The 20,986-nt window shown below is 40.7% G+C and overlaps 1 long non-coding RNA gene across 1 annotated transcript in view; it reads right to left on the bottom strand.

The window, feature by feature from the left end:
- The window catches only part of BALR6 (B-cell acute lymphoblastic leukemia associated long RNA 6), a 306,371-nt gene that overhangs the window by 241,065 nt on the left and 44,320 nt on the right, over positions 1 to 20,986 (bottom strand). The window contains exons 2-3 of the long non-coding RNA NR_161333.1: positions 14,084 to 14,203; positions 11,147 to 11,240 (exon numbers count right to left, since the gene is read on the bottom strand). This is a non-coding gene — a long non-coding RNA (B-cell acute lymphoblastic leukemia associated long RNA 6). The remainder of the gene's footprint in view (positions 1 to 11,146; positions 11,241 to 14,083; positions 14,204 to 20,986) is intronic.

Here is a 20,986-nt window from a genome sequence, read left to right as displayed (position 1 = left end):
AAGTTAAAGATGAAACTTTCTCCTCTACGTTTAGTGGAAAAGTCAACAAATGGTAGAAATGAGAAAACTAAAAAAGGATTTTTGCGGGGGGATGTTTCTATTTTAATAAACCAGATTGTTTCTAAATTGGGTACGGGAACTTCTTTCACACATAATGTTTATTTTTAAATTACTCTCCCCCCTAAAAATAAGGTGTTTACCATGTAGGCTGAGCTTACTTGAGTTGTCTGTGATAGATGGATACAAAAACGGCCCCAATTTTTTTTCTCCTATATTCAGTGGGAGTTGGTTTTTCCCCCTTACTGAGAGCCATTTCTCACCTCTTAAATCCGGATAGTGTTTGCCAATAGAATGAGGTCAAAGTGGTAATGTTCCAGTTTAGATTCCAGGCCTCAAGAGAATTTCCATGCTTCTACTCTCTTGGAACCCGGCCATCACCATGTGAACACATCCAGACTGAACTGGAAGGAGAAGAGACCACAAGAAGCCAAGATGATATCTCCCAGCCATGACCATCCTAGACTAGCCAATCCCCCACTGACCACAGGACATGAACAAGCTCATTGAGATTGAGATTGGTCAAGCCCAGCCTGTATCAGTTAATCTACCCCGCAAACACACAGACTTACAAGGAGTAATAAATGTAGTTTTAGCCACTACAGATATTTGCTGCACTACAGTAGCTAAATGAAGCATTTCCCCCAGTCATTATGCTATAGAACCAGCCTGGACTTGAGTCTCACAACAGCTTTGGTGGATCTCTGTTTTGTGTATTTTTATGGTTATTGCAGTTGTGGTTTTCAAGTCAGCTTAATAAAAGTATAATTTAAAAAAAAGCCATCCCAGAATTATTTAGTATAAGTGATTAGCATAAAAAGCAACCTCAACAGGCAAGCTCTTTCAGAACAATAGCTCTTTCAAACCTCCAATAGTCTACTGAGGCTTAAAAGCAAAGCATTTACTTTGGCAAAAAAGATAAAAAATACACATGCCAAAATAAAATAAAATAAGGAATACTGTCTAGTTCTACTCCCTGTTATACCAATCAACCATACTCATTAAGACTTCCATACTTTCTTCTTAAGTTTATAAATAGTTAGTTATGATTTAATAGTAAGAATAGGATTAAGTGAATCATTGTTCATTTTTTTTTTAAGCTACAGTGGTATGTGGGATTTTTCTCTTGCTGTTGCTTTTACCAGATCATCTGCCATTTCATTGTCCTGCACAAAAATAAAAATCTAGGCACCTGCCAAACCAAAAGAAAAAGAGAAATAGGAAGGAGGGGGGGAGGAGGAAAGCTTTGTTCAATGTAACTGCTCATTGGCCTATATGAAAAAGAATAGCAAATAAACAACCTGCCACAAATTGAGGTGTATACGGTGGTATAGACCTTTAAAGCATATTTCAGTTGCCACAGTTACCATTTTGCAAAATAAAATAAAGCAACAGAATTGTCAAATGAAATTTTGGCTGCATTTCTCGTGGAGTTTCAATGCGTTTTTTTTTTTTTTTTTTTTTGACAGCCTTTTCTTCCAAATTTGGGTGTGATAGTTTCTGTTCTAATTGTATATTGTTCTGGGGAATGGCTCATTTTCTGATGTGTTTTTACTATATCAAAAACCGAAATTTTTAAATCAAATCATCCTTTCTTCTTCTTTCTTTTTGTCTTCTCCTTCAAACATGTATGCCTTTACATGTATTGTTTATTGGTTTATAATTGAATAAAGAATAGTTTCATTGCTGCACAAAGAGTTTTGGAAATGAAAAGTTTACCTCCTTATAATACTTAGAATCTATCATTTTACTTGCAAAATTTTGGAGTTGTGGTTCCCTGTGAGTTGTTAAGGCACCCTGTAAACTTTAATTTATCCAGTGTAAACCTTGAAGAATCCTGGATGAAATAACATGGATGAAATAGCAACAGACCCTTGTCTGATCTTTTGTCCTAGCCTTCCATGGTGAACATTTTTTTTTTTTTTTTGCAGTGCTTCCTAGAACCTATTTTCCCTTTCTCCTTTCCTAATTTCACTCTGAATTTTTGAGGCATGTGGTTTGGGCGGGATTGATCCCATTCCCAGTTGTATCCAGCCATGTGTTTGCTTAAGCCAATCAGTGTATCTCATCTGCTGTGTAACTATAAAACAAAACTGATAGATGCACTATTTGAGCCCAGTGTAAGTTCTCATCTGAATCATCGCCTCTGGAATGATCAATTGAAACCTCTAATAAATGCTATTTTCTTCTTTCGGCCAGTTTGAGTTGAGTTGTACACCATCAAGTATTATCAAAAAATTAAAATTTGAAACAGAACTACTGAAAGATAACATGGCAAACTTTGGAAATTAATGTGTTTCTCATTAAGAGTATCCAAGTGGGGTGGAACAGCAGAGAAGAAATCCAAGCATCATAGAAAGAGTTTTCTTCTAAAATTACTATCAACCCTTTTGCTCCTGAATAGTGAATCAAAATGCATGAAAGTTAGATTAATATAAAGCCCACCGCCTGTCTCACCCAGATGGATAGTAAAGTCACAGACATGGCAAGTATAGAGAAGCACCCAGATTCCCTTGAAATAATTAATGCACCAAATAATTGCCTCAGAGCCTCTCTTTGTTTTGCTACAGGAGTCTTAGTCTGTGGGAGCCAACCATGAAAATAGAAACCACTCTAGACACTCAACTGAGAAGTCAAACAGGGATAGGATGGCAACCCAGAAATTAGCAACTGCGTGAAGCTGGAGAATCCCTTAGTCAGGAGGTTCAAAGGGAGGAGGTATTCCTGGAGCCCAGGGCTGAAGGGGGAGATACCAGAACCGCAAAGGACCTGACCAGTGAGAGGTGGTGCCACAGAGGATGCTCAGGCCCCGCTAGTAACGCTGCAGGAGGTATAGAAAGGAGGAGAAATATCTTGGCTTTCCCCTTCCTCCCACACTCTAGTCTCTTGCAAGGGCCTCCTAGCAGCCACCACAGCCAAAAGCCCCAGACCAGAGAGCCTAGAAAACACAGTCTGTAGTTATCAGCTCATCTGTGATACAGGGCAGAGCAGGACAAAGGCAAAGAGTAAATCTGAGTCAAGGACCAGCACAGGATCTAATCCACACTGGGTGACAGAAGCACACTGACCTCAGCATACACAGGTAAGGGACAAAACCATGGGATGCTCTTTGTCTCCAACCACAATCAAATCAAAGCCAAAATTCAAGGTATTTGTTAAACTTAGTGCCATGTGTTCAATCAGCTCCTGCTTATGATTCATAATTGGAGTGTTCCATGCTTCTTGATCCCCTGCTCAGACCCTTCTTCTCTAGCAGTTTTCCCCATCTCACTAAACAGCAACCCCATCCTAACAATTGCACAGGCCAAAAATCTTGACTTATTTCTATCTCTCTCTGCCCCCAGACCACATCTGCCAGCAAAGTTCAACAGCTCTACCTTCAAAATATATCTAGAAGCTGAATACACCTCCACTTGTGGGGCTGCCATGCTGGCTCCAGCCACTATAATCTCTGCCTGAATCACTGCAGTCACCTTGTAGCAGGTCTCCTTGCCTCTGCTCTCGTCCCCCCTCACCCTACTGCACAGAGGAGCTGGGACAATCCTTGTAAAATGTGTTTGTTTCTGTCATGCCTCTGCTCAAACATCCATGACTCCCATTTCCTTCTGTGTATTGTAAGCCCAAGGAAATCTTTCAGGAACAAGACCTCTTCAAGTCCAGCAAATTTGTCTTGGATAATGACAGTGGGGACTGTCATTAAATCCATGAAATTAGGCTACAGTTTATGGTTTAAAAAACAGTTCTAACCATTTGTACCTGCAATGTTGTAAAATGCTATTCCATGTCCAGAGCACTGTTGCTGACACAGTAAATATTTGTTGAAAGGTGTAAATATTGAATGGGTAGATGGATGAATGGATTGATGGACGTATCAAGAATGTGAGATTAACATAGACCTGATTAAGTGGTTTGAGCTGATAGAATATTATTTTTTAGATTATTTAGATAGGACTTTGAAAGGAATCCATTCAAACCACGCTCTGAGTTATTTATAAAGTGAACTATGTTATGTAACTTATTTTTGTAAATCTGCAACTTTGTGAGTTTGGATAAAAATGGTTGTAAAGAATAAGAATTAACCCATGCAATATAGATATTTCCAAACCAGAATTATTGCCCAGAGCCAAACTCTACAACTTAACCAAGCTACCTTGAACAAAGTTTATCATTTAATGTGTGAGGCAGCCAATATCATCTTTACATGAATAAGTAAATTGAGGCCCAAATGGTTTATTCAATCTACTTTTTAAAGAAATATTATTGCATAACCACTGTAGGTTAGGCACCGGATAGGATAGGAATGATTTTAACATGAACAAAGCAGACATAAATGCTAGGCTCATAGGATGCTAGGAGAAATCAACTTTGATCAAATCACTATAAGTAATATGCGTACTACAAGTAGAGACAGGCAGAGCTGTGAGAAATGTAACAAAGGGAACAAACGAAGTCTAAGAGTTTAAGCTAGGACTTGGAGAAGATAATAGTGCAAACTCTTTTAGTGGTTCTCAAACTTCAGGATGCCTCAGAATCACCTGGAAGGTTTGTTAAAACACAGATTGCTGGGTTCAGCCTCAGAGTTTCTGATTCAGTAGGTGTGGGCTGGGACCTGAGAATTTGCATCTCTAACAAGTTCCCAGGTTGATACTGTTGCTGCAGTTTTGGGGGCTGCATGTTGAGACCTACTGAGCTAGGTAAAGTTGGAGACCAGAGGCTGGGGAAGTGGTCTTCTAGGCATGGGAACAGCATGTGGGAAGCCCCTGGTATAAAATTTTGGAATCAAAATAATGCCTTATATTATTCAGGATCCCAGCAACAAACGATGATACACTTAAGCCATATAATTTTGAAAAGTTTAATGAAGTGACTATTCACAAATCTTTAGGCAGAGATAAGGGAAATGAACCAAGGAAGAGATGCTAAAACATCAAAGGCTAGCAACAAAGGAGACTCTACCTGCCCTAAAACTCAGGGGCATGGGAAGAGATCAGAAAGGAAAACCAGAGAGAGCTGGAGCCCCAGGACAAAGCCGCCTCACGGGAGCAGTGACCCTTGGTAGGGAAAGGTAGATCTTTCCAACCTACAACCTGGCAGGGAGAGGTTTTCCAAACTCATTTCAGTGACAATGAAAAGCCAGAGGTCAAGGAAGCACAGGTGATGCTTCCCAGGAAGTCAGGCTTCTGAGGCCCAGAGCAGAAGGGAGAAACATGCAAAAGGGCTCGGAGGGGCACGCAGAGAACACCAGCATTTGCCATGGGCTAGAAGAGGCAGGCAGGCAGGACCTTGTGGAAGCCTTTGTAACCAGTTTTCTATTGCGATGTGACACATCACCACAAACTTAGCTGCTTAAAATAACATATATTTATCATCTCCCAATTCTGTGGGCGGGGAGTCCAGGGCATGCTCAGCTGGGCTCCCTGCTTCAGCTTCTCACCAGGCTGCAATTAAGAGGTGGAGTTTAACGAAGGTAGCATAAACACTGGAGTGACAGCCCACCATCTGCCATATTCTATTGGTTAGAAGCAAGTTGCAGGTCCCACACACACACAGGGGAGGGGATTAGACAAGGACACGGATAATAGAAGTCAGGATCATTGGCGGTTACCTTAGAGCTTCTCCACATTATCACCTAATATTAAAAACCATATTAAGGACTTAAGATTTTATCTTAAAGCCAATAATGTGAAACCATTCAAAGAGCATACTAGATTGAGAAGCTGCAGAATTAGATCTACACTTTAAGGCTCACGTTAGTTCTCAGACAGTGGATTACCAGAAAACACAGAGGGTCTACTTACGGTCACAGAGTTAGTTAGTAGCTGAGCCAGGGCTACAGCTCTTTGAGAACTACCATGCTTCAGTGTTATTACAAGGTCCCTTTCTGTTCCATAATGCCATATTTCTCTGCATCTACAAGATGATTAACTGTCAAATTTAATAGCGTAGCATCAACGTGAAGGATAGAGAAGTAACAGAGAGACTATTTTGGTTAGCAAATATTTGGACTTGGTCTTATATAAAATCTAAAACAAATTCAGAGTTTAATTTTTTCCCCTTTAAAACGTTTATGTGTATGGACTCTTTCTTTGGAAATAAAAGTTCTTTCTCCTGGACGTCATCTGGAGGGGTACTGGATCCCTCATGCAAGTGGAAGAACTCTGAGTTCACTCACCTCTCCCTTCAGCTGCTGGTCTACCTGGGCTCCCAGACCTTGAAGCAGGATCTAAGCCCTCTCACATGCTACAGGTAGGAACATAATTAGGTACAAGCTTTCTGGAAAGAAACAGCAAAATATGCATCCAGAGCCTTGCAGTGGTATATGCTGGCTCGCGAGAACCAATCATTTAATTATCAGGAATTTTCCAAGCCAGGCATTAAACCATTGGTAGCTTGAAATCAGCAATGGTTGGAATACTTATACTCTAGAAACTGGCGAATGCTACAAATCAGGGTGGGTTTTTTTTTTTTTTTCTGTAAGATTTTTGTTAAACATTTACCAGCACACCACTGCTTTAAAGTGTTCAAACTCTCAACCCTAACAACTCTACTCTAAGAAATATTCAGAGAAGAAAACAAATATTTACATATAAAAAAGTTCTTTGTAGAAAATGAAGTTGGAAATAACCCAAATATCTAAGAAGCAGCAAATTAAATGAAATGCTACGTAGCCACTAAAATTATATTTTTAAATCTATTTGATGACATGGAAAATTATTCAGCATATAAGGGGAAATGAGAATATAAAACTCCATATATAGTACAAGAGAAAATTTTTGTAGGGAAATAGTATGTACATATATACAGAAAGAGAATTTAAATTTTTTTAAAGAACTCATATAGTATCAGTGATATCTTTGGTAGGATAAAAGGTAACTTTTATTTTCTTTTTTATCTTTGTACATTTTCCAACTATTCTTTGATAAACATGTATTACATTTGTAATCAGTCAAAAATAAATACTATCCAAAAAAAAGTAAGGTCAGAAGAAACTGGAAAACATGAGCTTAAAATCAGCCAACATTTTATGCTTACCATAGCATTTGCTGCACCATATTGACACCTACCAATCAGAAATAGACTATATACTTTCTGCATCCCAGGTATAATAGGATGGTGACTCTGGATTGTATTGAGTCTGTTCTCTAAACTCTTAAGGATGTAGCCAGTTTTCAGAATGTAGCATAGAACTGCACTTCTGACCTAAAACCCATAAAAACAGTGAATTAAGCACTTAATTTACCACTTACAAGTCTAGCCCCCTCTTAACATCCCTTTCCAGGCCTCTCTCTTAGGAAGGAGCCTCACATTTTCTTGTAGAAACTGGAATGACACTCTGGCCCCAGCTCCCACTCCCCTCCATGACGGGCATGACTTATCTGATCAGAGAGTTAGGAGAGGCTCTTTTGGAGCCAGCCTGTCCAGAGGACAAGCATTCCACTCTGCTCTCTGCCTTGGGGGATTGTGCCCAACTCCCGCATCATGGGGGATGCCTGCGGTTGACCAGCTGTGCCAGTGACTGCAGGTAAGTGCTGATTTTACTGGTGAGTAGGCAAACCCACTTGGCCACAGATCTAACACATTCTCCAATCAAGTTTATTAGTAATCTAGGCAATATGATTTCCCCCTTCTCTAGGATCTATCTATTAATTCATCCCTAATTTAGGAGAATATAGAGATATTGGTTATTAGTCTCCTCTAATCTCCAACACAATCCATCGGTGTCTGTGTCAAGCAGAAACTGCTGAAGACAAGGGTGGTGTCTTATATTCCCATTTTTGTATTCATAGCACTTAGCGTGGCCATTTCTGCACATAAAAGTGCCCCATAGAAGATTGGGGGTGGAGGGGAGAAGAAAGCTAGTCAAAGAAAAAGATTCAGAATGCAATCTCTTTACCTGTTACCTCTTACGTCCTACTGAATTCAGTGAGAGTGGCCCTTCTCTCCGGCAGATTTTGGCCCGTTATTTCCATCCTTGGTTTAACAGTTGGTGCAGCATTTGTGGTTTAAACAATTTACAGTGATTGATGGGAACTAACACAGGTGAAATGGGGTCTCATCTGAGGAAAATCCTTAGTAATGACAGACAGGGGAGAGGTATGGTCATCTGTTCTTAATTATAGTCTGTCTTCTCTTGGCCATCTAGTTTCTCCTTCTCTCCCTCCTTTAACACCAATTTTAAATAAAGTGAAAATTTTAAACTGGGAAACATCTCTTCGTAGTCAGTATAACTTTCTGTTGCCTTGGCTGCAGCCCCCTGACTAAATCACTCCTGAAAGTCACACCATGTCTTCCTTCTCATCAATTGGTACCAATTAGACACCTTCTAGGTAGAGAAATAATTTACTTAACTGCATAAGAAAATAGCCACTTCTAGCCCTTTAAGAATTTTGGTTCTCAATTACCCAGCCTTACTTCTCCTGTGAAGTGATAATTAGAGTCTGGATGATAACTGGATTACCAAGGACATCTCTCCCGACAGTCGTTTAACACCTAATCAAGTGTTAAGGTCGTAAATTATGCATTTCTCAACAGCATTCAGACCCATTTGAAAACAATTTGAAACAGTTCAAGAGTTCCTAGATGGTCTTCAGTTTTATAGGGCTGTGAAGGGTCCTGCTTAAAGGAATTACCCGCTTAGAAGAATTACCCGGTTAAAGGAGTTACCCACTTAAAAGACTCAAACGTGTAAGGCTCTCTAAGTTCTTTAATCTGCTGCAGATCATTATTTTTTTAACTGACAATTGAGTACCCTCCCCTCCCACCACATAAGAGAAATTGGAGTGTTTCCCACAGTGTCAAGACGCCTCCCCAGGGAGCTCAGATAAAAAGATTCTAGAGAGAATTTGAAAGGGAGAAAAATGACTTAAAAAAATAAAGCCTTACAACTTTGTTTTTCTTATGACTTGTTCAAAAGCAGATGCAAAAATTAAAAGTTTGATACTGCAATACTGAAAACTACAGACTGTTTCTCATTTCTGGGTTCAGAGGGAAAAAACTATCCTAAGTGATTGGGGGTAGAGGAGATGTGGGGAAAGAGAAAACAGGGGAGTGCCATGTCTTGCTCTGCCCACCTTTAAACAAAACCAAGCATCCTGTAAGCAGTGGGCTCTTCCGATGACATAGACCCTATTAGAACAATTCAACCCCACTCTCACCACCATCAACCCCATGTCTTCAGTTCCACCAGAGACCTGAGTAGAAGTCCATGTCCCAAAAGGCAGCCATCACCATAGTCTCATATTTTGCAATAAAATTTTCCCCATCAATTGGTCTATCAGTCCCTCTGCCTTCCCTTCCATTCCTCACGGGCAGAAATGTGGATGTCTCTAAAAGCTCTGAGAGTCACACACATTTATGACAACATGTCTCTAACTCCCCTTTAATAACAACAGACACGCTTCTTTTGGAGCCTGAGAATCTGTTCGCATGCTCAATCTCTTCCTCTTGGAAGGAGAAATGGTATAATTGGAAGCAAAGATTACACCATGTAATTGTACCAAGATAAGGATCCATCTTTAGTCTAGCCCAACTCAATTAGAATATTTTTACTGCTTAATTTGATCTGAAGAGCCTCAGGAAAAAAAAAAAATCTATCTTCTTGGAGGAACAGGCAAAGCCTGACACATATGGTTTCTTCCCTCTTCCTCCCTTACTTGCATCTCAGTAATATTCCACGTATTGAAAAGATAAGGACCAGAAATCCAAAGTGAGGGCAGCCCTTTTCCATCCCTTCTGCTACATTTTAAGACTTCATTCATTGGAACAAGCTGAGTTATTTGTGTGGCAAATACATTGAGTCTCTTCAAAACAAACATCTTTTATTTCAGTATACTTCTTAGAAAAAGGAGAGAGAACAGAATTGGTGTAAGATACATAAAAGATCATTTTACCTCAGCCAACGTAAAAAACCTCTTGCCTGATCTCCTTGTTTAGCTTTCTAAATCAAAATATCCCATCATCATCACTCTCCTGATTAAGAGCCTGTGATGGGCATCCATGTCTAGAGGAAGGAAATCCAGGCACCATTCAAAGACCTTCACAGTTGGGCTCCTACTCACCTTTTCACCCTTACACTGTCATTTTCCCTCAAATAAACACAATGCTTCCATCATCACTTACATTCTGCAAATGGGTATGCACATTCTTGTCTCTTTGTCTTTGGTCCCACTGTTCCCTTTGTGTCTAATCTCTTTTCTCCACTCCTTGCAAAATCCTCTTCATCCCTCAAGAACTAATTGAAATGTCCTCTCCTCTATAGACCTCCTCTCTGAAGCTGATATAACATCCAGCACCTGGGTTCACCTGTCACTTTTAAATTCCTCTGTTCTACTTTTATCATAGTTTATTTGTGTGTGTTTTTCTCAAGGGATTACAAATTTCCTGAAAGCCATGATTATGTCTTCTAATTTATGTATACCAGTATCTGTAGCACCTTACCCGGCATAGATGTGTACTATCTATAAAGACATTCTAGAAAGAAATCAGATTTTCTCTTGTATTAAATGAGATTTTAAAATCTGTCTTTTAAAAATTTATGGATGCATTTTTATTTTGTTCAGACCCGAATTTCTGAACATTCATTCACATGAAAAGCTGCTATGCAAAATTCAGAGAAATGCAAGAGTTGGTATTATAATCAATTTTCTTCTTCCTTTAATCTTTCATATGAAGTTGTGTGTGTTTAGACATGTCTTCACTTGCAGTCATGTTTGACAGGGGTCTTTTGCTCTTTGTATGTCCCCAGTGTGTGTCACATAAACAAAAGTCCTTCTCTCACTGGAATATTGACAGAAATAAATCACTTTGCAAAGCAGACTCAAATGATAGTCTCCTGAATTTCGAAAAAATTTCTTTTATTGAGATGCTGAAAAAGTATATGATAAATTGTGATCATTAAAGTAGAGTAGTTAACATATAAAATCATTTAACTCAAAGAAAAGCAAGGTCCCAGGTGATGTACAAATTAGGTATATATAGAGCTGGAGCAACAAATACATCACTTAGGTGGTGTATTAGTCCATCTTGCACTGCTATAAAGAACTACCAGAGACTGGGTAATTTATGAAGAAAAGAGGTTTAATTGACTCACAGTTCTGCAGTACAGGAAGCATGGCTGTGGAGGCCTCGCGAAACTCACAATCATGGCAGAAGGCAAAGGGGAAGCAAGCATCTTCTTCACATGGCTGCGCAGGAGGAAGAGAGTGAAGGGGAGGAGCTACACACGTTTAAACAATCAGATCTCAGGAGAACTCACTCACTATCACGAGAACACAAGGGGGAAATCTGCCCCCATGTTCCAACGCCCTCCCATTAGGTCCCTCCCCCAACACTGGGGATTACAATTCAATGTGAGATTCGGGTCCAAACATAGTGCCAAACTATATCAGATGGGTAATGTTTCTGTGGAGTCCTCACTCTTGGACATTCAAGTCAAGGAGGACCATCAAGGCAAAAGCTCACTCACAAATGGTTGACAATCCCACCTCCAATCCCCCAGCCTACAGGTGAGATATAAGTACAGTGTTCATACTTCCCCTGTCCCTGCTCACTTGGGGGCAGGCTTTGTACTCAGGCTTTTTGCCTGCTCTAAATCCTGCCTTGGGACTGCTCTCTAGCCACAGCCTTTGGTCATCCCCCATGAATGGCCAGTGATCTAAGTTTATGGACGTCCCTGTGGATAGGCAAACCAAGCTGATATAACCTCCCTGTCACCAACTTCTGCTCCACGGTTTCTATCTTCCAGGCTCACAGATTCTGAAGGATCTCCAAAGTCTGTTCCTTTCTCTCTACATCCTAAAAGTTGTATCGGGTAATAATATAAAAATATCATGAAATATCATTAACAAAGTGAGGGAAGGCTCATGAATGCTGAGAGATAGGAACATGAGGCAGAAGTGGCCTCAGTCTCACAGAAGGAGGAAAAAAGACAGTTGGACGCAGTGTCTCACACCTGTAATCCCAGCACTTTGGGGGGCCAAGTCGGGTGGATCACCTGAGGCCAGGAGTTCGAGACCAGCCTGGCCAACATGGTGAAACCCTGTCTCTACTAAAAATACAAAAATTAGCCAGGCAAGTGGTGTGCGCCTATAATCCCAGCTACTCTGGAGGCTGAGGCTAGAGAATCGCTTGAACCTGGGAGGCAGAGGTTGCAGTGAGCTGAGATGGCACCACTGCACTCCAGCCTGGGTGACAGAGTGAGATTGTCTCAAAATAAAAAGAAAAAAGAAAAAGAGAACCCGGTGCTTAGAGCAGAGCAGAATATCTCACTAACCTTTGCCTGTTATCACAAGGGGATCATTGCTGTATAGCACAATCGTGTTTCCCTAGACGGAAACCCTAGTGGCCACCTTGACACCCTATGGCACTGTCTGGAAGGTTCACTCTTCTTTACCTGCCTAAAAGGATGCCCCCTCACCCCCACCAGTGACCTCATAGGGTGGCAGCTTGTAGCAAGGAAAGATGGTTGCAAAAAGGAAGAAGGGAGATGGGCCACTTCACGGTGTCTGCCCATGGATGATGTGCTATATGTGAGGTAGTAGATAGATACCATTAAATAAGATTAAATCTCAGAGTGAGGGATTTATTCCCATAAGGCTCAATTATCTTTAGAGCCTTATGATGAGTCAAAGCTAAGTGCCAGTTTAGTGCTACCAGGTCTTTAGCACCTTTCAACACTTGGAAGTTTCCCTTTTTAACAAAGTCAGCTGACATCAGACTCAGACCTCGATCAGGCTACTGTATGCAATGAGTCTTTTAATACTATTGTTTTAACATATTTAATTTTACAGTTATTTTATGTTTGTGGCAAGTGATACTTTCTATTCATTATGTTCACATGACTTTCTTTTCAGAATAAATTATTTAATATGAACAATGAATCAGTTTAAAGTGAAATAAAGTAAATAATTGTGCAGGCTTATATAATTATTGTAAAAATCAGAAACAATGACTAAAGTTTGGGAAACATCAGTATAATCCTCAAAACATGGGATAATGAGACTAGAGGACCTGGAGTAAAAATCCCATCTGTGCTCCTTTGTAATCTCTCTGAGCCTCAGTTTCTCACCTATGAAATGGGAATAAAGATAATATTCCACACAAGATTGTGGTTGGCCCAAGTGAGCTAAATATAGAAGATGAGGCTGAGTAAATCAGTGGGCTGGCACTCATTACAATAAGAAGGCATGACCAGTGCAGGCCAGTTAACTTACTTGTACACTACAGTATTATATTCTAAATGAGTGGTCTTGAACCTTTTTGGCACCAGGGACCAGTTTTGTGGAAGACAATTTTTCCATGAACCGAGGGCAGAGGAATGGTTTCAGGATGATTCAAGCACATTACATTTATTGTGCATTTTATTGCTATTACTGTTACCTTGTAATACATAATGAAATAATTATACAACTCACCATAATGTAGAATCAGTGGGAGCCCTGAGCTTGTTTTCCTGCAACTAGATGGTCCCATCTGGGGGGTATGGGAGACAGTGACAGATCATCAGGCATTAGATTCTCATAAGGAGTACATAACATAGATCCCTCACATGCACAGTTCACAATAGGGTTCACACTCCTATGAGAATCTAATGCGGCTGCTGATCTGATAAGAGGTGGAGCTCAGGCAGTACTGAGAGCAATGGGAAGAGGCTGTAAATACAGATGAAGCTACACTTGCTGGCCGGCCACTTACCTCCTGCTGTGCAGGCTTATACAGACCAGTAGCGGTCCTTGGCCTGGGGGGTTGGGGACCCATGCTGTATACCACGCATGGTATTTGGTTGTATTTGCCTCCCCCAAGAGACTATAAGCTCCTTCATGGCAGTAACCATGTCTTATTGATCTGTGCCTTGGAACATTGCTTCTCTGTAGTACAGATTTTATGAATATTTTTAAATTGAATTCAATTAACCAATTGAATGGATGATCTATTTGTCTTGACAACCCAGCAAAGATCCTTGAGATCAAAAAGTGTCTGCTGTATCACATACAACTATTAGTGTAGTCCTTTCTCAGTAAAAACTCACCGATTGATAACATATGCATCTCTTATCTGGACTACTGTGACTGTCTTCTGGTTTAGTCTTCCTGCCTCCACTGGGGTCCTCCCACAGTTCACTCTCCACATGGCAATCAAAGTGATCTTCCTAAAACACAAGACTGACAATGTTACTCTCCTGCCAAAAACCCACCTGGGGATAGAGTAAAACTCCCTAACACAATATACAAGGCCCTTAATTATCCATCTCCTACTTATAGCTTTAGTTTTGCCCCTGAGTATACCGTCTCCTCCAGCTAGACTGAAGCATTTTCAGGTGCCCAAAAGAGCTGCATGGTCTCTCAACTCACGGTCATTGCACCTACTCTTGCTTTCTCTGGAATGCTCTTTTCTTTCCTGTTTCTCTACCTGGCTAGGTTCCACTCATCCCTCTAGATGTCCCCTCCTACAGAAGGCCTTTCTGCCCTCTTCTGCACCAGGCTGGACATCCCTCACAGGGGGATGTGGGCCACGTGAGAAAAAGAGATATCCCTTACAACTTTCAATTCAGGCATCACATTGAATCCACCATTTGTAGTCTCTGCCTGCAATATCTCAGGCACCTGGCGGGTCTCTGATCACTGACAGCCATGAGGCCTCTTGCTATTGTTAAATTGCTGCTGTGACTGTGTGTCTTGTTGAAGTGATTCTCTCAAAGAAAAAAATTACACCGCTTATATAATGCCTGATCTTGTCAAGCTTACTTTCAGATTTGATTTTTTTAAAAAAACCTCTATAGCTCTTTTTATGTGAAACAGCTTCCATGGGAGAAAATAAAAGTTGAAAACATAATTGTATGCCTAGATTACGTTCCCATAGCCTGTAAAGCTTCCGACACTATGTGAGTGGCCCGTGAATTTGTGGGAAGGAAGGAAGGAAAGAAGGAAGATAAAGAGAAAATGTATAATAGGGCAGTAGAGAGAAAGAAAGGGAGCAGGAAAAAGCCAGAAGAGATAAAATTTTGTCACAGTTGCTGTTTATCTTCAGTAGCCCCACTGGATTTCACCCTTGCCAGCCTCTCCTTCTACCAAGCTCATTTGTGATGTTCTCATCTGACCACACTCGTGGCCACACCTTGGCAGCCCCATCCAGCCCATACTCCATGCAGTGTCTAGACACACATGAGCCTGGGCTATCTCTCCTCCTTCCCACTGGCTTCTTTTATAATCTTGGCTGGGGGGGATACAGGATGCACAATGGGCCAGCTGTCTCCTCTAACTCCATGTGCTTAATAAGGCTAAACATCTTTGAAATTTGAGGTAATTGCAGGGTTTCCTTAGGCGAAAAACCCCAACCAGACAGGATGTAGCCAACAGCATTTGAAAATGTTCAAAGTAGTTAACAATATTTTAAATTTAAGAGATTCTCCACAACAATTTGGAGTTTCAGTTTCTTCCCAAAATTGAAAGAACTGGCAACACAGGGCCAGCTCTGGTTGGATTTAAATAGAGCTGCTTCCTTCAGTGGTGGCACATGGTTCTCCCTCTAGTTTGCCGCAGACCCCACCCCTCCTTATCGTGCCCCAATATTGAAGCCAAGCATACCTTGCCATTTGTCACATTGCTCTCATTTTATTTGTACTATATTTGCCTTACACTCGACTATGTTTATTCATTAACATTCCCTGTGAAACCCCAGAGACCCTTGAGTGTGCACTGTGCAGACCAGACATTCTCCACACATGCAAAGCAGATGGCCACCTAAACAGGGCTCATCTCTTTAGCTCTGAAGAAGAGCCTGTGCTCTATCATTTGTTGCTGATAATTCATGCCCAAAGGAAAATAGGCAAGAAGAGTTCTTTTTTAATTAACCCAGAGTCTCCAAACATGACTTCCCGTTTGTCCTTTTTCTTGGCTACTGGCATTAGCACTTGCTATCATTATTGTTACCTGATCTCATTACCTCTCAGGCTCTTTACCTCCCATTGCAGCATTTGCCCTCAAGGTAAACCTGTTGCCCGCCCAAGAGATAATAATACTTATCAGGATCTTTTATAGTGTTCCTGGACCTTTTGGGATTGAACCACATTTTGCACACATAAAGCCCTCTATTATCACCACTATTGTCATTATTATTATTTGGGATTAGGCAGCCCTCTCAGAAGTCTTGCCAACCACAGGCAGATGAAACCCCAGAGCCTCACCTGGCCAGGCACAGTGACTGAGGCCGGACGCACCTGGCTGTAGGATGCTGGTTCAGCCTGCAAAGTCCTGGGCTCTTGCCAGAGAAGAAACCTGCCTTGAAACATTCACTCCTCCCTTTATGCAGGAAATAGAGAGAGTGCTGGAGGTGAGAAGGAGGCCTTTCCCAGGGAACTCAGTCTCCAGACCACGCTGGTGGATTATCATTGCTGCAGCAGTCCTCAAACCAGGCAGATACTTAAAGAGCCAGATTCTCTGTCTCTCTCAGAAGAGAGGGATGTACAATAGAGTTTGGAGTCAGAAGCTGAGTTCCCATCCCCACTGTCACTCTGTAACTCTGTGAGCCTCAAACAACTGATTGACTCTTCCAGTCTCTGGTTCCTCATTGGTAAAATGTGGATACATCCCAACTTCATGATAATACCATGGGACTTATATGTAAATAAATTTGAAATTATATATACAAGTATTTAGGTAAATATCAATTTATAGTGTCTGGTATATAGTAAACCCTCTATTAACTGATGAAGGAAGGGCCCCATCTCTATTCAAGCTTACTGCACCACCCAGAAGTTAACTGTTTCAGCAGTAGACCCGGAGTAAACAGACAAGATGCCCTCAGCAAGCAGAGGTGAATACAAACCTCTCTCACCAAGAGAATAATTCCCACTCAACAGCAGGCTGCCTGCCACCTGAATTCCTATTTCGTTTTTCTCCATCTCTCACTGACTACCAACCAAATGCCTTCCAAGGAAACATGAGCCTTTTCCTCTTTTTGATACACAACCTGTCCATCTGTGATACCCATTGGTCAAGTTTGCCCCAGCAAAGGGGTGGAGATATGGAGCATCAACACTGCTTTCTGATCCCTTCATTTTGCCCTTTTCTCTTCTAAATAAAAAAAAAAAAAAAGCAAGCAAACAAACAAAAATGAAACAAAATGCAAAGCAGCTTAAAACTTTCAACATTTCAAAACATTCAAAGGGGAATGTGTTGACCCAGAGATGAGCTGGGCATGAGAAGGGCAGGGATAGAAACAAGTCTCAGGAACACTGGAGCCAAGGAAGGAAATTCTGCCAGGACCCTCTCTCCATTACTTGTTTCTCCTTTCTGCACATCTGCTTCATTCCTTCTCACTACAGAGTGTCAGGAATCAGCTACAGCACTGCACAGCTTTGCAGTCATTAGAAAGTCAGTCATTAGAGAGACTGGCTTATACCCTTTTTGATACCAAATTTTAAAATCTGAGATAAAAGATTTGAGTGGCCAGCTTTGGTCAGGAGCCCATTCTTGGACCAATCAACTATGGCTGTGGTTACTGATGGTGTAGTTTGGTCAGGGACAAACCCCTAGACGAACAAATTGCTGGTTGGGATGATGAGCTCATGTCAGAAGATGGAAGCTGCTGTTGTAAGCTTGTGGTTGAAGTAAAGAGAAAGGAGGCCACGTATTATAGAATACATAATGGAACTAGATTATCTTTTTGCGAAACTTTCTAAGTTGCCAAACCATGAGCTTCTCAAGAATGGAAACTAAGCTAACGCATCTTTGTATTCTGGCCATGATAAGGACTCAGGAAATGTTTGTAGAACTGAATTGAAATGCATCTGACTAATTGTAAAGCTGTGTGTCCATCCTAGATGCTATGTGTCCAGAGAAAAACCAAAAGATCAGCTGCAGAAATGAAGATCCTACTTTGCCTGAGGGGAAATTTTCCACCAAACAGAATTGCCTAGAAATGTAAACAGAAGCATCAGGAAGCTAAGTACCCCCTTTTAATGGAGGCCTTCAAGACTAAGTAAATGATTGTCAGGGATGTTGAGGAGGATGTATATGCAGTCACCTAAATGCCCTTCTAAACATTTGATCTTATGATTCTGCAAACTTAGTCAAAGAAGAAAAATTCACCATGCCTAGACCAAGCTTCCCAGGACACCACAGAAAGGAGAAATAGCCACAGCAATACAGCCAAGGCTTCTGCTGGCCACATCTGAACATATGCTTTGATGTGATCCTAGTCTTTCTTCTTCCTAGTGATGCTGGTCGTGGAGATGAATTAAAAGGACTTCCTCACCTCCATCAATGTACCTGCCTGTTTATAGACGAAAATGTGCCCAGTTTAAAATGCCCTCGCTCTTGTTTTGTCCCAAGATATGAGACTTCATTTAACTGCATCTAGTGTACAATGAATAAATTGAAACTATATGCTATTTGGGCATTATTTCTAACCTGTTTTTCACCGAGAGCTCCCTGATAAGTTGGTATCTTTGATTTTTATTAGCATTTTCACTCTTATTTTCTCATACAAAATTGAGCACACTTGAGAGATTTCCTTAAAGGGGATTTTCCTGAATCACCAGCCACTATAATGTGATGACAGGACCAGCATCACCCCCATGACGCAAGCCTACGTGGGAAATCCTGGGCAAGTACAGGAAGGAAGGTCTCCTGGGATATCTTTTACCAGAAACTGGGGCATTGGTTCTCAGAGAAGAGCTGTGGTGGTATGCTAGAGCTAGGTCATATTAGCTTATGAAAGCCAATTATTCAATTTTCAGGAATTTTGTGAGCCCACTGTTAAACCATTGGTAGCTTGAAATCAGACTTGCAGTATTTATATTTTGGCAAGTGCTACGAATCAGGCTTTCCAACATACCACCTCCCCCAACCCTTCCCCTAGTTTAACGACATTAGTTAATCAACTCTGGTCACTGCCTCTTTGCCAAATGACAAAACTGACCCTGGCAACAATACTTAGCTAAAGCAGTCAATGCTTCTTACAGTTCCACCAGGCAACAGGGAATCTTGTTTTTCTGGCAGTATTAATAGAGTCATACCTAATTTTGTAGCACTTTATGGATATTGCAGTTTTTACAAATTGAAACTTTTTGACAACCTCGTGTTGAATAAGTCTGTCAGCACCATTTTTTCCAACAGCATCAGCTTACTTCATGTCTCTGTGTCACATTTTTGTAATTCTCACAGTATTTCAAACATTTTAATTATTATGATATCTGTTATTATGACTGTAATCAGTGGCCTTTGATGTTACTACTGTAATTGTTTTGGGATGCCATGAGCTGTGTCCACATAAGATGGCGAACTTAATCGATAAGTATTGTGTATGTTCTGACTGCTCCACCAATAGGCCGTTCCCCCCTCTCTCTCCCTCTCTTCAGGCCTCCCTATTCCCTGAGACACAAAATTGAAACTAACCCAGTTAATAACCCTACAATGGCCTCTAAATGTTCAAGTGAAAGGAAGAGTCACGTATCTCTCACTTTAAATTAAAAGCTAGAAATGATTAAGCTTAGTAAGGAAGACATAATGAAAGCCAAGACAGACCAAAAGCTAGGCTTTCTTGTGCCAAAGAGTTAGCCAAGTTGCAAAAGCAAACTAAAAGTTCTTGAAGGAAAATAAAAGTGCTACTCCAGTGAGTACACAACTGATAAGAAAGTGAATCAGCCTTATTACTGATCTAGAAAAAGTTTTAGTGGTCTGTATAGAAGATTAAACTAGCCACAACATTCCACAAGCCAAAGCCTAATCCAGAGCAAAGTCCTAAATAATAGAGTAGAATCTCTTAAATTTATGAAGGCAGAGAGAGGTCAGGAGACTGCAGAAGAAAAGGCAGAAGCTAACAGGATTGGCTCATGAAGTTTAGGAAAAGGCCATCTCCACAACAATAAAGTGCAAGGTAAAACAGCAAGTGCTGATGGAGAAGCTGTAGCAAGTTATCCAGAAGATCTAGCTAAAATCATTGATGAAGGTGGCTACACAAACAACAGATTTTTCAATGTAGATAAAACAGCCTTCTATTGGAAGAAGATGACATCTAGGACTTCCATAGCTAGACAGGAGAAGTTAAGGCCTGGCTTCAAAGCTTCAAAGGACAGACTGACTCTCTTGCTAGGGGCTACTGCAGCCAGTGACTTCAAGTTGAAGCCAATGCTGACTTATCATCATTCCAAAAATCCTAGGGCCCTTAAGAATTATGCTAAATCTACTCTGCCTATGCTCTGTAAATGGAACAACAAAGCCTAGATGACAGCACATCTATTTATAGCATGGTTTACTAAATATTTTAAGCTTCTATTGAGACCTATTGCTCAGAAAAAGATTCCTTTCAAAATAGTACTGCTTATTAACAACGCACCTGGCCAACCAAGAGCTCTAATGGAGATGTACAAGGATATTAATGTTGTTTTCATGCCAGATAACACAGTATCCATTCTGCAGCCCATAGATCAAGGAGAAACTTGACTTTCATGGCTCATCATTTAAGAAATACATTTCATAAGGCTGTACCTACCATAGATAGTGATTCCTCTGATAGATCTGGGTAAAGTACATTGAAAACCTACTGGGAATAATTCACCATTCTAGATGCCATTAGTAATATTCATGATTCATGGAAAGGTGTCAAAAGATCAACATTAATAGGGGTTTGGAAGAAGCTGATTCCAACCTTCATGAATGACTTTGAGGACTCAAGACTTCAGTGGAGGAAGTACAGATGTGATAGAAATAGCAAGATAAGTAGAATCAGCAGTGGAACCTGAAGATGTGACTGAATTGCTGCAATCTCATAATATTTTCACATATAAAGAATTGTGTCTATGGATGAGCAAAGAAAATAGTTTCTTGAGATGGAATCTACTCCTGGTGAAAATGCTACGAACATTGGTGAAATGACAACAAAGGATTTAGAATATTATATAAACGTAATTGATAAAGCAGCAGCAGGTTTT

The sequence above is a fragment of the Homo sapiens genome, chromosome 3 (genome assembly GCF_000001405.40).
Source record: "Homo sapiens chromosome 3, GRCh38.p14 Primary Assembly".
NCBI classification, from domain to species: Eukaryota; Metazoa; Chordata; class Mammalia; order Primates; family Hominidae; genus Homo; species Homo sapiens.
Note: the sequence above shows the minus strand (reverse complement) of the source record. Positions and strands in the feature narration are given on the sequence as shown.